A 15,796-nucleotide genomic window follows, 5' to 3' on the forward strand; every position below is an offset into this window, starting at 1 on the left:
ATTGATAGGCAGAGAGACAGCAAATGCAAGTCCCTAAAGTCAGATTTCTCTGTTAGAATCACAGAACATAAACATTTCCTCTTGGGAGGGCTTCAGAGTTCATTCATTACTCTTGTTTAATAGATGAAGTGACTGAAGATTTGCAAGGGGCAGGTCATATAGCTAGACAATGGATTCAGGTGCATGCCCCATTGCTTCAGAATCAACTGATGACACTGGAGGTAGGAGGTTCTCCTAAACTCTAGGTTTTATTTGCCAGCTCTTTGCCTTTTTCTTAATAAACCTTGGCAGTGTGTGTTTTTGTCTCAATCTATTTATATCCCTGCTCAGATGTCATTTTCTTCCCTGGCATGGAATAACTTGTTCACTCTGCCTTTATTGACTATCTGCAGGTCTCTCATCCCACACTGCGACAAGAGATAGGGTTATAGCATGGAGATAATAGAGCCTGCTCTGTTGCTGCTAGATATTTGATCATGACAGAATCATTTAACTTTTCTTTTTCTTTTGTTTCTCCCACCTGTAAAATGGGGCTAATGATGATGCATATCTTATAGGGTTATAAGAATAGTAAAATGAGGTCAACATGGAAAGAGCTTAGAGCAGTGACTGGTGTATATAAGAATAATGTAGTGGAATATTCCTATTTGAGGAGATTATAATCTAAAATAGGAGATGGGCATTAAAGAGGTTTACAAAATTATGACAAGTGCTGTGTTAAGGGAGACCCAGGTGTGTGGGCACTTGCACAGGACAAATACTTTGCCCAGCCTGGAGGACGTGGGGACTCCAGGAGTCTAGGTGGATGTCTCATCTGGATGGGGTCCAGGGGAGAAGTGAGCAGCTCCTTATGCTCCTTTAGAACAGGGTAAGCCATGGCCGGGCATGGTGGCTCACGCCGGCAATCCCAGCACTTTGGGAGGCTGAGGCAGGCAGATCATGAGGTCAAGAGATTGAGACTATCCTGGCCAACATGGTGAAACCCCGTCTCTACTAAAAATACAAAAACTAGCTGGGTGTGGTGGCACGCACCTATAGTCCCAGATACTCAAGAGGCTGAGGCAGGAGAATCGCTTGAACATGGGAGGTAGAGGTTGCAGTAAGCAGAGACTGCACCACTACACTCCAACCTGGCGACAGAGAGAACAGGGTAAGCCTTGTGGTGAAGGACAGGAGTCGGTTGAGCTAGGAGAGATACATGGAGGTCAAATCACGTAAAGCTCTGTGTGTCAGGCTGAGGAGTTCAGACTTTGTCTTCAAGCCAAGGCAGTCCAATTCTTAGACAAATCTTTCAACCCAACTGTTTTGTGATGGGGAACCCAGAAAAGAGAATTAAGATTCACTGAGTGCCAGCTCTGCCCTATATGCTTTATCTCAGTTCCCTCACTTATTCCTCACCACAGACTACAGGGGAAGGATTATTACAGATATATAAACTGAGGCTCAGAAAAATAAGCTACCAAGAGGTTGCATAATTAGAGGCAGAGCTGTGATTTATATCTTACTCTGTCAGACTATGGATGTTTCTTCTACCATGCATAACACATCAAATCCTAAAGAAAGAAAATAAAAGCTAAATGAACAAAACTGAAAGCACCCAAAACCTTGCATGTGATATGGGAGGATTATGTTCCAAGGAATCCAAAAGTGTTCCTAAAAGTTTAAATTATGCAAAAATGATTATTTAAAACATTAAAAATTGGCTTGAACTTTAAATGCAAGTAGAATTCATTTTCTTGTGTAATTTCTTGCCCAAAGAACCTATTTTTTTTCTAGCTTATTTAAAGTGACATTAGAAAACAGAAGAAATTTATTTTAAAATGCAGGAGGATGACTGACTGGTAGTGATTTTGCAAGAGACTGAGTAGATAATTTAGCATGGGACTGTGAGGGTGATTTTGATAGGATTTTAGAAGATTTCTTGAAATATCTGTCAGGCGAGTCTTGAGCACAAGACTGTTTTTTCTCTCAACAAGGGGGCACAAAGCAAGCCCATTCCTGAGAACTGCTCTCTGGTTCTGTAAACTTCTCTGCCTTGGTAAATATCTGGAAGGCTTTTTGGTGCCAACTTTTATAATTTCCCTACTTTTAAAGACTTCTTCAGACTCTTCAATAAAACTCATCTTTTAATACTGTCCCTGATGATCTGTTTCACGAATTTCCTATGTGTGACTTAATTTGGTATTTGGTCTTTACTTTCCAGATGGTCAGCTTCAGTCCGTGGAACCTTCCAATACTACCAACAATTCCTCACTTTCAGCACACAAGTGGTATCTATCTTTGTCCCAATTGGCTTACTGTTAGTGTCAGTGCTTTCATTTATTACCATTTCCCACTCATCTTTATAAAACACTGGGACAAATTGCAATAAAACATTGCAATAATTACACAAACTTGACTGCAAAATATGGTGTTGATGCAGTGTGTCCGAGCTCTGATTGTGAAATTGGTTTAAGGGTGTCAATGTGAAAAGCAATTGTGTGGAAATCAAGGACTGCTTTAATACATTTATTTCACAAACACATTGTCTTAGAGTACCTTCCCAGAAGTAGATTCCGACACAAGGATTTGTGTGAAAGTGGTGTTTATTAAGAAGCATTCCTGGAAAAACCTCCAGAGAACTGGAGAAGTAGGACAGGGCAAGGAAGAAAGGCAATCAAGGGTACAATGCACTTATTACAAACACCGTGAAGAAAACCAGCAAGGAAAGTCCTGCAGGTGAGCACTGCAGACAGGGAGATCACACATTAGTGTTTTCCTGATCAGGGAACAAGGGAGCTAGAGTGTTTACAGTTATCACCCCGTTCCTTAGCAAATGGCTAAGGCTATGCAAGTTCCCAGCCTTTAGCTCTCTATGTTTTCATGCAGGCAATCCAAGCTGGACTTCAGGAGCCTGGGGCAGCCCTCAGAAAAGAGAAGCAAGTGCTGGCTGATGGACATGAGAGCACTCTCAGTGAAAGTATGCAGGAAAATGATAAAAGGATCCAAAGAAATATGGATGAGACCCTCTTCCCGGCACTCTCTTAAGGTGAAGTGGAAAACAGAATAAACATTGCCTCCAACCACTCTCATGGAGCTTACATCTGGATAGGGGGAAAATAGGCAATAACAAACAAACAAACAAATTAATTAATTAATTGCCCTTTGTGATATGCGCAATGAAAAAATAAGAAAAGCCTGATATGAAGAATAAGAAATCTGGGGTATATGGTTGCTCAGTAAAGAATTCTCTCTGCATGTGAATTTTAAGCTAGTGGCCTAAATGATAAAAGGGAGTTAAACCATTTGACAGGTGGAAAGAGGAATGTATTTTATGCATAAGGAATAACATGCAAAGTCTCAGGGTGGAAAAGTCAATGGCATGTTCCAAGGCTTAAGAGAAGATCAGAAAGGCTGGAGCCTAAAGTCGGGAGGGTGAAAGGGTATTTCAGTTATGTATTGCTGCCTAATAAACCACTGAAAACTTAGCAGCTTAAAACACAATTCACCGAGCTGCAGTCATTCTGCTGTCTTGACTAGGGTTGGGTGGTCTAAGATGGCCTTGTCCAGGCAGCTGCTACTGGTTCTTGGTGGAGCCATGTCTCCAGTAGGTTAGCTTGGTCTTCTTCACATGGAGGCACTATTCAGGGAGGCAAGGGCAGAGGCTAAAAGTCTCCTTCAGCACAGGTGCCTTGTTGCAGAAGGCAGAGTGTCACTTCCACCAAATTCTATTGGTAGTCACAAGAGCCCACTAGATTCAAGGGATGAAGAAAGTTACTTAATCTCTTGATGGGTGGTATTGCAAAGTGTGTGTCCATTTTTTTTTATCTACTACAGACAGAGACTGTGATTTGAGATGTGCCAGGGGTCAGATTAAGCAGGTCATTGTGGAAGGTGTTTGGATTGTTGAGATGTGAGAGTATCCAATAAGCAGTATCCATCATCATCAAGATCTAAATCAACATAGAAATAAGATAAAGTGTAAGATGCATGCAAATCAAAATCCTTCCTTCATCTCATAGGATTTAAATTAAGTCTGTGGACGACAAGTGGAGTGTCTAATAAGAACCTATAGTATTAAACAGAATTACTCACCGAGGCACTGACCAGTCCTTCTGATGACTAGACACATTATCTTGAGCAAATTGCTTCACTTCCTTGTGTTACTGAGAATAAAACGAAATAATGCTTGCTAAGTTTTTAGTCCAGTGCATGGCAGGAGATGGCTGTTCTATGAAATTTGCAATTGTTTTTAAGAAGCATAAGCAGCTCTGGGTGGTTGATTTGCATAAAGTCCACGGAGGGTGGTATACCCACTGTTTTCTTCTTCCCTATCCTCTTTATGAAAAGACCCTATTTCTTGTTCTGTCACAACTTTTCCCTTCCTTTTTTTTTTCCAACCTTTTTGACATTCACATGTACAAATGTCTTCAGCTTAAGGAGGAAGGGAGCTGAGGTAGACAAGAACTTTGCAGAACTAAACAAGCAGACCCTCAGGGTTTATTATCATAATGAAATTGCTGGTGAATTAAAATAACAATAACCAATAAATTCTTTCAAAAATGTTATTATGAAGACAAAAGCTGTGAGAAGCAGTACTTTATATCAGCTGGTGTGATTGTTTCTAAGGTGACAGGAGAGATGTGTGCCTATACACAATGCAATATTTTCTCAGGACAACACTATTAAAACACATATATGTATATGACTGTAGGCACTCACACAACCAAACAATTAATTGTTTCTGCCTTTCATACTTTGTATAGAATTGCAGGCAATCTACAAATTCCATAATTTATTGGATGTCACTTCTCATACAGAAAGGATGCCATTATATTTGACATATTTATGGAACTGGTTAATACTAAGTATTAAATACATTATTGAGGGTTTAAATCAAGGCAAGTGACTTCCACCCAGTACGCAGAGATTTGCAACTTGCTGGCCCCATTTTCAGAGTGAGCTCACCAGCTATGGAAAAATTATTACATGGTTGAATAAAAAGGAAACAGAAGAGCAGAAATGGCATCCAGCACTTAAGAGCAGTGCCCTATGAAACAGCTAAAGGGGATAGCAAAATGCAGTTTCTCAATTAAAAAAGAGAATGAGAAAGAAAGTACACACACACAGAGGTAGATGGCACCCCTAGGCACTGAGAGACTATAAACTGATCTAGAGACTGTAAGGACTCTTGGGAGTTAGTTTTCCTTGGACACGCACTGCACTTATGTGTCTTGCTTAATTTTCTCTAAATATTTCATACAAGAAGAACAGCTTATTTTAGAAAATTACTTTACAGTGCACAGGATAATTTTACATGGTCATATTTGATTTTCACAGTCTCATGCACTTGACCTTATTTCCAGCTCCAGCTTACACATGAGGAAACTGAGGTCTGAATAGCTAAGTGACTAAGAGCCCCTGACATGTGACAGGTACTAGGCAAAACTGGCATCAGTCTCAGAGCATCCAACTCAAGACTCTCTGTGCTTTTTACTATGTTAGGGTGCTTCTGACGTCATTTCTCCTCTCCAACCATAGAATACAGTTTCCATGGCTAGTGAAGAAAATATTTCTTATATTTCAGTGGTAATCCTTGGAGAATCTTGCACCTTCTGGACTCATGGGAGGAACTTAATATATGTTGATGAAGGGAAAGCCTTATTGCCCTGGGAGTGAAAGGACAATCATTTCTTGCTTTCCTACCTTCAGCTCCACAGTTTTTTGTTAGAAGTATTCCCAGCTAGTGTGTGACAGAGCTCTTTTAATGCTTTATTCATTGCATGCATTCTTATTCAGTCATTAAACCTAGCTGGGTTCCAGAGTTTCTCGTTGTTAACTTGGGGCTATTCTGTTGGCCTCAGACTGCTGCTGTAAGGATGAAATCTGATTAGAATCTAGCCTCTTAGCAAAGTGCCTGGAATTTAGTGGGCACTAGTTAAATGATAGCTACTGTTATTGTTGTTGCTTCCTCCTAAGTTTCAACTTCTATAGAAATCATCTTGTTCAGGAATTTTACCAAATAATGAGTCCAACAGCTTTTTCCTAGTCTTTCTCTCTTTAGTCTATGTCTACTTTAATCAGTGCTGTTCGTGCCCTCATGATCATATTGACTCATGATGGTATCAGCTGAGGTTCACTCTTTCCTCATTTCTCATTCCTGGTTTCTCTCCCACATTTCTCCATTGGTCAGACAACACTTACTGTTAATTTAATGACCTAATTTATCCTTCTAATGATGACATTCTTAAGACTGAAAGAAAAATCCAGGTCAAGTTGCAACCACCCAACACAAACCAGATGATCAAGTGCTCACCCTACTCATAGACTTTTGCCAGACGTAGAACTCACAGATGTTCTCCTTTAGGTTTCCCTATTGATTCCTTGAGAGAAGTCTGTGCCTTGTCATCCCCAAAGACTCCTTCCAATAAACAAACTCCACCAAATGGGATTCTTCTGGGAAGTCTTACAACACTAAGCCCCTTGAACTTTTTCACTTAAAAATGTGTTGCCCTTGAGAGCCAGGGCTGGAGGCTCTGCTACATCCTCACTGGCTGCTGAAGTTCTGAAAGATGCTTATGCTGTTTGGTAAATGGCTGCTGACCTGAGCTTCGCATAGGCCCATGTCACCATCCTCTGCTCTGACCTCTCCTTCAAAATCCTGGGATCTCCCACTATTCAGTAACTAAGGGACTGATACCCAGCCCAGCACCATGACTGAAGTTCTGCTGCTGTCCTCCCAGGGCCTTGGGAGGATCTGGCTTGTCACTGCACCCCCTACCCCAGGGCTTCTCTCTAAGTCTGGAAGCCCCAAGGGGGCAACACCTGGAGGGAAGTTCTGTTACCTACTTCCTGCCAATCTGTCAATTAGCAAGCAATGACTCTCACACACCACTCTTCATCCGAACGTGCCCCTTGTTCAGAGGACGTAAAGACATCAGCAGGAAAAATGGTCCCCATTTTATCTTTGACACTCTGGTAAGGAAAATACTCATCTATAACATTTGAGACATCATCCTTCAGTCCTAGTTTTGCTCTTAACCTGCCATAGGATCTTAAGCCAGTCCTTTAACCTCTGTTAGATTTTAGTTTCTCTAATATCTGGCTTAGCACATGGATTACTAGGAGAATTGTAGATAAGATGGGCACCAAAGTGGTTTGCAAGTAGTTATTTGTTACATATGTATAAGATGTTAATATTATTGCTGTAATTATGATTAGTTAGTACCACCCAGGACCAATGGGTCTATTTTCAGACAGTATTCTTATACCAATTTGCACCTCATGGCACTTTAGAATGTTAGAGCAGAAAGAGAAGTTAGAGATTATCCAGTCCAAAGATGAAAAACTACCAAATATTTAGATTAGGCTTAATTTCTTTCTCTCTCTCTCTTTTTTTTTTTTCTGGCAAGAGGTTTTTGTTTTGTTTTGATTTGTTTTTTAAATTCAGTTACCAACATTTAAAAATCAAGAGATTTTTACATCATAATACAGATTTCTGGCATCTTTTACAAGAATTGGCCTCTGTTCCTAATAAATCATACAGGGCAAACATTGGCTGGAGCTCAGTAGAGCTGCCTCTTATACAAAGTGTACATGCACTACAGTTGCCTGGGTAGCCCCTGCTTCCCATCCCAGGCCTCCCCCCATTTTCTAACATCAGGTTAAGATGGGCCTGGGCCCATTGTAGGCTTTTGAGTTGGCCATCTGCCCACCCCCATTCCTCCCAGTTTGTACTACCCTATTACAGATGAGGAAACTGAGGCCCCCCACCCACTCTTCCTTTTACTCTAGGTGTCCTTATTTACTAGATTGCTTTTTGTTGTCTGGGTCCATGTTCTGTCTTCCCCAACACATTAGGAGACCACATCTTCTCTTTTATTATTTTATTTTATTTCACATAATTTAATTTTACCTTATTTTATTCTTAACTAACTGCAAAGTTCATTATAGAGTGACTTGAAAATAAATATTGACAGACTTTCTGCTTCTCTTGAAAACATACTACCAAGTCTAAGTAAAAATAGTAATAACACAGAAAACATTTTATTATTTTATATTACTGCAATTAATAGCTACCAGAGTACATACATATTCATGACCTCATTTGATCTACAAAGGCTCTGATAGAGAGGGCAGATGATGGCATTGCCTTAAAGCAAGCTCATATAAACAGGTGTCCTCAAACATGAAAGCTTTATGCAAATATTCAGCATTTTATTCCTACTTATAAGAGCAGGAAACATGGGACAGAGAAAAGAGAGTGGAGCCAAAAATAAGACACAGAGATGGGACCAGAACAAGGCCTCCTGTTTTTGTCTAGAGCCCTGGAAATATGGACAGAGATGGAGAGAAACTTAGGAATAACTGATTTCAAATTCTTCACTTGACACAAGGAGAAACTGAAGCCCCAAGAGGGGAAGTTACAGCCTCTGCTTTCTTTTACAACTGAAGGAACTAGGTTTAGAATATAGAATTGCTAGAGATTGGCCAAGCATTCTATTCTGATTCTCAGACCAATTTCCCAAACCCATAGCGAGATGTTTATACTTAAAAAATATGAATAAAAGGAGTTAAAACTAGTGTAATTGTTTAAAAAGCTAAGGTCATCATACTGTTTCAATGCATTTTAATGCTGCATTGATTAATGCACAGCAATTTTTCTCTTTACTGAAATCTGGTTTTTTTTTAAGTGAATCGATAAGTATTGTATATTCTGACTCTCCACCTTCTTTTGTCCTTCATTTATCCCCTAAACCTCTTATTATTTCTTTCTCATTGTCTCAGCTCTCCTGCTCTATTTCATCTGTATGTTGTGGTGTCATAGAAAGAGTCCAGACCTGGAGCCAGAGGGAGTTGAATTCAAACACCTTGATTTCTTATTATCAGCTGTGTCAAGATCAAATCACTCCTCTTTGGCATGCTGTTTTTTTCTAGAAGTATTACTCTTGCCTTAGCTATTACCATCCCCTCTCTTGCTTGTAGGTTGATATTTACTTGCTAATTCACTCTCAGTGCATTGTTTTTGAATCTTAGCCTAGTTTTTTGTTTGTTTGTTTGTTTGTTTTGACAGTCTGCTTACTGCAACCTCTGCCTCCCAGGTTCCAGTGATTGTTCCACCTCAACCTCCCGAGTAGCTGGGATTACAAATGCCAGTCAACATGCCCAGCTAATTTTTGTAGTTTTAGTATAGACGGGTTTTCACCATGTTGGCCAGGTTGGTTTCAAACTCTGACCTCAGGTGATCCGCGTTTCTTGGCCTCCCAAAGTGCTGGGATTAAAGATGTGAGCCACTGTGCCTGGCCAGCCTGGTTTTAATGTTCATAGGATATCACTACCTGTGCTGGTCACCTCCAGGGTCTAGGGCAGATAGTGGGGTGGTTCTGCAATTTTCAAGCTGTGGGAAATTGAACACTTCTTAAACCATACTCTTTAATCCTCATTCATTCATTCATTCATTCACTCATTGAGCACTTGTAATGTGGCCAGGAGTGTTCTAGATACAGGATATACTGCTGGAAACAAGATAGCAGATTTTCTTACATGACAGAAGAGGAAGACAGAAGACAAAGAGATCAACTGTGAAAATACCAGATTGGAATGAGCGTTATTCAGATATGGTGAAGTTTCCTCTTTACGTGCTCCAGTTGGGTCTTGTACGTTCTCTCCAGTTTTGCCTAGTACCCTGTAATTATTTCTTTGTATATTTGTCTTCTCCATTGGAATTCAAATTTATGAAGAGACAAAACGTTGTCAGTTTGCTTCTAAATTCCCACTTCCTACATGATGTCAGCTACAGTGAATGTGCTCAGTTAATGCTTGTTCATATTTTCAATACTGACTTCATGTTTGGGCACATCTTATATTTTCCTATTCGTGTTTCCTTTATTTTTAATTTCTTAACATACCTTTAAAAATGTATGTACTTTTATAAACTACTGTAAATCTTTCTGGAATGAGAAAAGCTTGTACAAGTAAGCAGCAAACAAACAAATAAATACATGTGTAAATAAACCTAAAGGGTGTCAAATCAATAAATGGATAAATTAATAAGTACGTAAGTCTAGGTTAGACAACGCTTGAGTTTGAATGCAAACTTTCCAACTTCTACTAGTTTTGTGACCTTGGGAAGGGAGCTTGTTTTTGCTGAGCCTCAGTTTTCTCATCTAAAGAATTGGGCGAATGATATCTGCCTCATATCCTGAAAGGATTACATAGTGTTATGTATATAAAGGACTATGTACAGAATAACAATAGCTCATCTCTTTGAGTGCTTAGTCTGTAACAGTGCTTTATATTTATCAAAGACTGAGACATGGTAGTTGATAACCCTATCAAATTGTGATAAGCAATCCAATGTTGTTAATCATTACTCTACACATTCAGTACTATAAAGTAGGCACTCGATAAAAGATAGCCACTGTAAGTATTATGTTTATTATCTTTTATTGCATGATCTCGTTAGCAATATTGAGCAACCCACAGAAAAGTATTTTATGAGAAGTCAGAGCATATACCAACACTCCTGATGTAAACCCTTATAACCCCCAACCAGGATGAATGTGTGCCCTTGTTTGCTAGGGTCTATCCCTGGTTGGCCTTGCTATCCTACTGTGAGAGCACCCTCCCCTTCTAACAAAACTGTCCTGATTTAATATAGCCACCTATCCTAACCAGTTCACATTCAAAGCCAAGAATGCACAGAAGACAAAAGGAAGAAAGGGGAAGAAACAACAAGTGTTCATTCTGCAAACATGTCTTCCTCCTCAGGAACACATCCTCAAAAGAGGCTTTGATTTATGTCTTCTGATTCATGGCAGTTGGAGGCGTGGAAGATTTGTCACCTTGGATTTTGAGGGTCTAATTATTTTCACTCTAAAACTATGTCTTCACCTCTGAGGAACGATACAGGGATGGTGTGCGAAGTATCATGTTAATGGGAGGGCTACAAAAATCAATGGCAGGATCAGGGATGGGGGCCATTTAATCTCATTTCTGCAGCTCAAGATGCTAGCACATCCGTCTTTCTCAAGAGTATGCACACAGCTCTATTAGGTGCTGGGCGTGCTATAATTCTACTGTAATTGCAATAACATTATAAATTATTGTCATAACAGCATAGAGTGAGTGCATCAGAGGTCTGGTTCACAGCTTGTGTTTTCTCTATGTGCAACCATTTATTTTTGGAGATGGTACAAGGAGCTGTGAGCATAAATATGTCCGCATTCTCACATCACATGATTAGTCTGCTGTCTGCCTCTCTGAGCAGCTTTGCAAGATCCTGCAATGAACTGAGAGAAGGGAGCTCTGTGTTCTATACTTAGCATTACTACTATTTGTATAACCTTGTGAAGGTCATAGTCCTTCCCTCACTTTCATGGTATCTAAAATGCGTGCATTTAATTGAATCACAGACTTCTAAATTTCAACCAGTTTCTTACCTCCTAATTTCTTGTCCTTTTTGTATATTACATGTAGAATTTAATTTTTTTTAAATATGTGTCTATGCACAATACAACATCATTGTACTTACTGTGTTATGCAAATAGCATGCATGTTGGTGTAGAGAGGAAAAGTAGTTTTCTCCAGGTTTGACTGTTTGGGTGATAGATGGAGACAGAAAGCACAAATGTTTTCTGTTTATTGTGTGCAGTTACAGTCTTTTCTTTGGCTTTCCAAAACTTCTGTTCTAGCTTATTGTCACTCTCATGAGATTTGGTGCCATGTCCTGGAGACAACAGAAAGTTGGTATTAAGAAAGTGCCTCCATTACTTTCTCCTCTGTGTGTCTACCCCATCTCCTGTGCTTTAGAGGTCCTGGGGTGATCTCAACAACACCATAAATCTCCAATCTCTTTTACCTCCCATGGATAACCCTTGAGTCTGCAGGCATTCTTGGGATTCAGCTTCCATAGATTTTGAAATTGAGTTTGGAGGCAAAGTGGTCTTGTGCATGTTTTTCAGGCAGATCCACACTATGCCATCTCTTCCCAATCTTCCATTCTTGTTTTCTGATAGCAGAGGGGCAGGTTTAGAAGTCTATGGTTAGATAACAAATCTAAGAATGAAAACCTCTTCTTGAAAGTATCTCTCCTAATCTTTTCTATAATGCTTATGAAATCTTTCTCCATTGACTTTGAGGAAAGGTAGCATACACCTTCCTCATAATCATTATATTCCCAAAGACAATCTCCATCGCACTCTTTTTTTTCTGTACTGACAACACAGGGGAAGGAGAAAGTGAAGGGAAATGTGTTTTGTTTTTGTTTTTGTTGTTATTTTGGAGGGGCTTATCCTCTAAATTCTAGCTCTGCATAACTTTTCAGGAAGGTGGCAAGCCCCAAACATCAGTGGTTGTCTTAATGAAAAGAGTGTTTTGCTCTTTTGACCTTATTTTTAAGTAGTAGCTAACTTAGCACAGTATCCAGAGTGACACTTGTGAAATAAAATAGAAATTATTTCATATCACTCCTCTGCTTAAAACTCTCCAATGTCTTCCCATATCATTCAGTCAAAGAAAAAGATTTAAAAATGATATTCAAAGCCGTATTTAACCTGGTTCCCATTTTTTTTTCTGTTGGTACTTCCTCCCACTCATTTCTAGCTTCCTGTACTGTGGCCATTCTATACTTCATTGAGTTTTTAAAAAACCAAGACATTTCTGCCTTAGTGTTTTCCATGCTTACCATTTCTTCTGACTGAAATATTTATGTCTTCTTCCTTCACTTCTTCAAGGTCTCTGCACAAGTGTCTGGGAGCTCTTCTCTGACTACCCTAGCCAAGGTAGCAACTCCTCTTTTCCTTGGCATGCTCTATCTCCCCTACTATGTTTTTTTTTTCCAGATAGTTCTTTAATATTATCATTTGATATGTAATATATTTTTGTTTGCTGTTCATCACCCCTCCTTAGAATGAAAGTTCATAAGGGCAGAGATTATTGTTTTTTTTCTTAATTATTGCACACTCAGTAACCAGAACAGTGCTTGGCATATAATAGGCATTCATTAAGTGTGTGGTAATAAAATTGAATACATAAATTATTGAACCAAGACTGTTATTTTTCTTCCTTCCTATTGTGCCTCTATCTAGCTTGTTCTCTTCTTCCTGCTTAAAAAATTACATGCAGTAATTCATGTTATTATAAAATGCTATATAGTGAAAAGCCTTCCTTGGAATCTTCTGACTCATTAAAATTTCTTTGTGCATATACAAGCATTATACATATGTTGGCTCTCCTTTACCTGCTTTCTACTGTTAGGGTTTTTTTCTACTCTTTTTAAGTTTGTTTCTTTCTGTCTTCATCTCTCAGTCTGTTTCTTTCTTTCTTTTGCCTGGCTGCCTGCCTGCTTTCCATCCTTGATATATCTCTCCCCTCCCTCTGTCTCTCTTTTTGTTTTTTCTCTCCTCTTTTTCTTCAGTCCCTTCACTTCCTTTTTGCTTTTCTTCTCTTTATCCTTTATGACTCTTATTGTATTCTCTTCAATATCTATACCTTTTGTTTTCCTTCGATTTTATCTTTGTGCATAAGATGGCTTTGCTTTTTTCTTCTACACCGTTGCTTAGCTATTTTAGCTTAGCTTTAACCTCTTTCTGTTATATATTTTCTAAGATACTACCTTTTTGTTTGTGGTCTTCTTTAATCAGCACAATTGCTTTATATATATTTTGAGTTATTGTCTGTTGTTACCATAATCTCAGCAAATTTAGATGGTCTGTATGATTCTTTGTGAGTTGTGCCTTCTCTGCTTCTCCACCAAACTTGCTCACTTGGTTCTCTTATTGTAACAAAGAAGGGTGATAGCTTTTGCACTTTAGATCATGAACCTCACATTTAGGAAGTGTGTCGTTGCTGATGTTTTCTGAGATTTGACATGCTAGACCTTCTTTTCACTTCCTCCCATCTCCACATTTGCCTTCTACCAAACTCAGTTTTGGCAGCCTTTTTATATATTTGTGAATTTTAGCTGCCTCTTAGTTTAACTAAATATGGAACTTACTGGCTTTAAGAAATGATTCTTGATGTTTTTAAACTGTGATTTCTTTGAAGAGAAGTATAAAATGCCGATTATTTTATTATGTTCATATAAGAAATGCTTATTCCTTGTTTTTGACTGTTTTGATTCTTATTAGAATTCTCTAGAAAGCATATTGGGCAAATTTCCTAATTTTTTAATGTTTTGAGCTTTCTGAAGTAAGAGTATTTGGGGCTTTCATTCCAGGAGTAGGGATAAAAGTTTGTTGAATCAACCACCCTCTTTCATTGAGTCTCTTATGAAAGAGTTGCCTAGAGAGAGAAATGTGAAGACTATGAAAATACAATTCACATCTAAAGAAATTTTGTTTTGTTATTGGGAGAAGTACTGCCAGATCTTACTAATGTTCTTGCTTTATAGAAAGCAATGTTTATTTATGATAATATAACATTACATCAGAGATAGAAGGAACCACAGATCCATCTTGCCTAATACATCAATTGAAAGATGAAGAAACTGAGTAAAGAGTCTGAAATAGACTTGATCCACAGTTCGAAGGCCACAGTGTGGACCAGAAGAAGGTCACATGTAAAAGTAAGTCGGAAGATCTAGGGAAAGTCAGGTTCTAAGACTGTCCAGACTGCATATACCAGTGGGCAGGACAACTGTGTGTATTACAAGTTTGCCTACATAGCCACCTCTTTCTTCATCTTACCTTTGAAAGCTAAAACAGTCAGCTGGATGAAGTAATGATCCTACATAGGAGGCAATGATTATACATAGGAGGAGCCCCGAGTGTTAATCTTGCTCTATTCTTCTCAAATGCATGCTCTAGTGTGTTAGTCTCTCAAGTCTCTTTTTACTTGGAACTACTGAGGCAACCACAGCTTTACATCTGGGCTTGAAGGGTAGGTAAAGCTCCTTGTGCCTTTCCATGCTATGTGTTCTAAGCCCATGTCTCCATCCAAAATAACCAAAGAGCTTATCACTGGAGTATCGGGCAAAAACCCACCTAATTATAATAAAGTGGCATTTCGTTTCTTATTTGCCACTTTCTCTTTTACATACATCTACCTTTCTTAGAGACTTCATAAAAAAAGGTGGGTGGCCCTTGGGGGGATGTAGGTATTCATGGATTCTATAAAGACCATCAATAGTATCCCCAAACAAATTATCAGTACATTTCAGCTATCTGTTCCATTTCTCCCCATTTACCAAAGCTAGTTGAGAAATCTCTATTTTATCATCTATGTGTACAAGCACAGTTTAGCAGGGCACTAGCAGAAATTATCTTCAACTTTAATTGTAGCCACGTAACTACTTAAGCAAAATCACATGTTTATCACTTCCTAATATCTTTAAGTGTTGTTTCAATCTGTGCCACAGATGTACTTTAAGATGTATTGTAGGCTGACCAGGCTGACTTTGGGAATGTTTGGATTATGATTGCATTAAGAGTGCAAGCATGGCTGGGCATGGTGGCTCATGCCTGTAATCCCAGCACTTTGGGAGGCCAAGGCAGGCAGATCACAAGGTCAGGGGTTTGAGACCAGACCAGCCTGGCCATCACGGTGAAACCTCATCTCTACTAAAAATACAAAAAAATTAGCCGAGCATGGTGGCAGGTGCCTGTAATCCCAGCTACTTGGGATTGGGAGGCTGAGGCAGGATAATTGCTTGAGCCCAGGAGATGGAGGTTGCAGTGAGCTGAGATCACATCACTGCACTCCAGCCTGAGTGACAGAGGGAGACTCCTTCTCAAAAAAAAAAAAAAAAAAAAAAAAGAGTGCAAGCAAATAGGCCACAATGGGAATGAACAAAGCAGGAGGACTGATGAGTTCATAA

At 39.2% G+C, this 15,796-nt stretch overlaps 1 long non-coding RNA gene across 1 annotated transcript in view; it reads right to left on the minus strand.

Moving 5' to 3' along the window:
- Window positions 1-2,567: 2,567 nt before the first annotated feature.
- Window positions 2,568-15,796, minus strand: part of LINC00824 (long intergenic non-protein coding RNA 824) — a 159,411-nt gene continuing 146,182 nt past the window's right edge. Inside the window, exons 6-8 of the long non-coding RNA NR_121672.1 lie at window positions 11,513-11,707; window positions 4,075-4,145; window positions 2,568-3,932 (exon numbers count right to left, since the gene is read on the minus strand). This is a non-coding gene — a long non-coding RNA (long intergenic non-protein coding RNA 824). The remainder of the gene's footprint in view (window positions 3,933-4,074; window positions 4,146-11,512; window positions 11,708-15,796) is intronic.

The sequence above is a fragment of the Homo sapiens genome, chromosome 8 (assembly GCF_000001405.40).
Source record: "Homo sapiens chromosome 8, GRCh38.p14 Primary Assembly".
Lineage (NCBI taxonomy): Eukaryota > Metazoa > Chordata > Mammalia > Primates > Hominidae > Homo > Homo sapiens.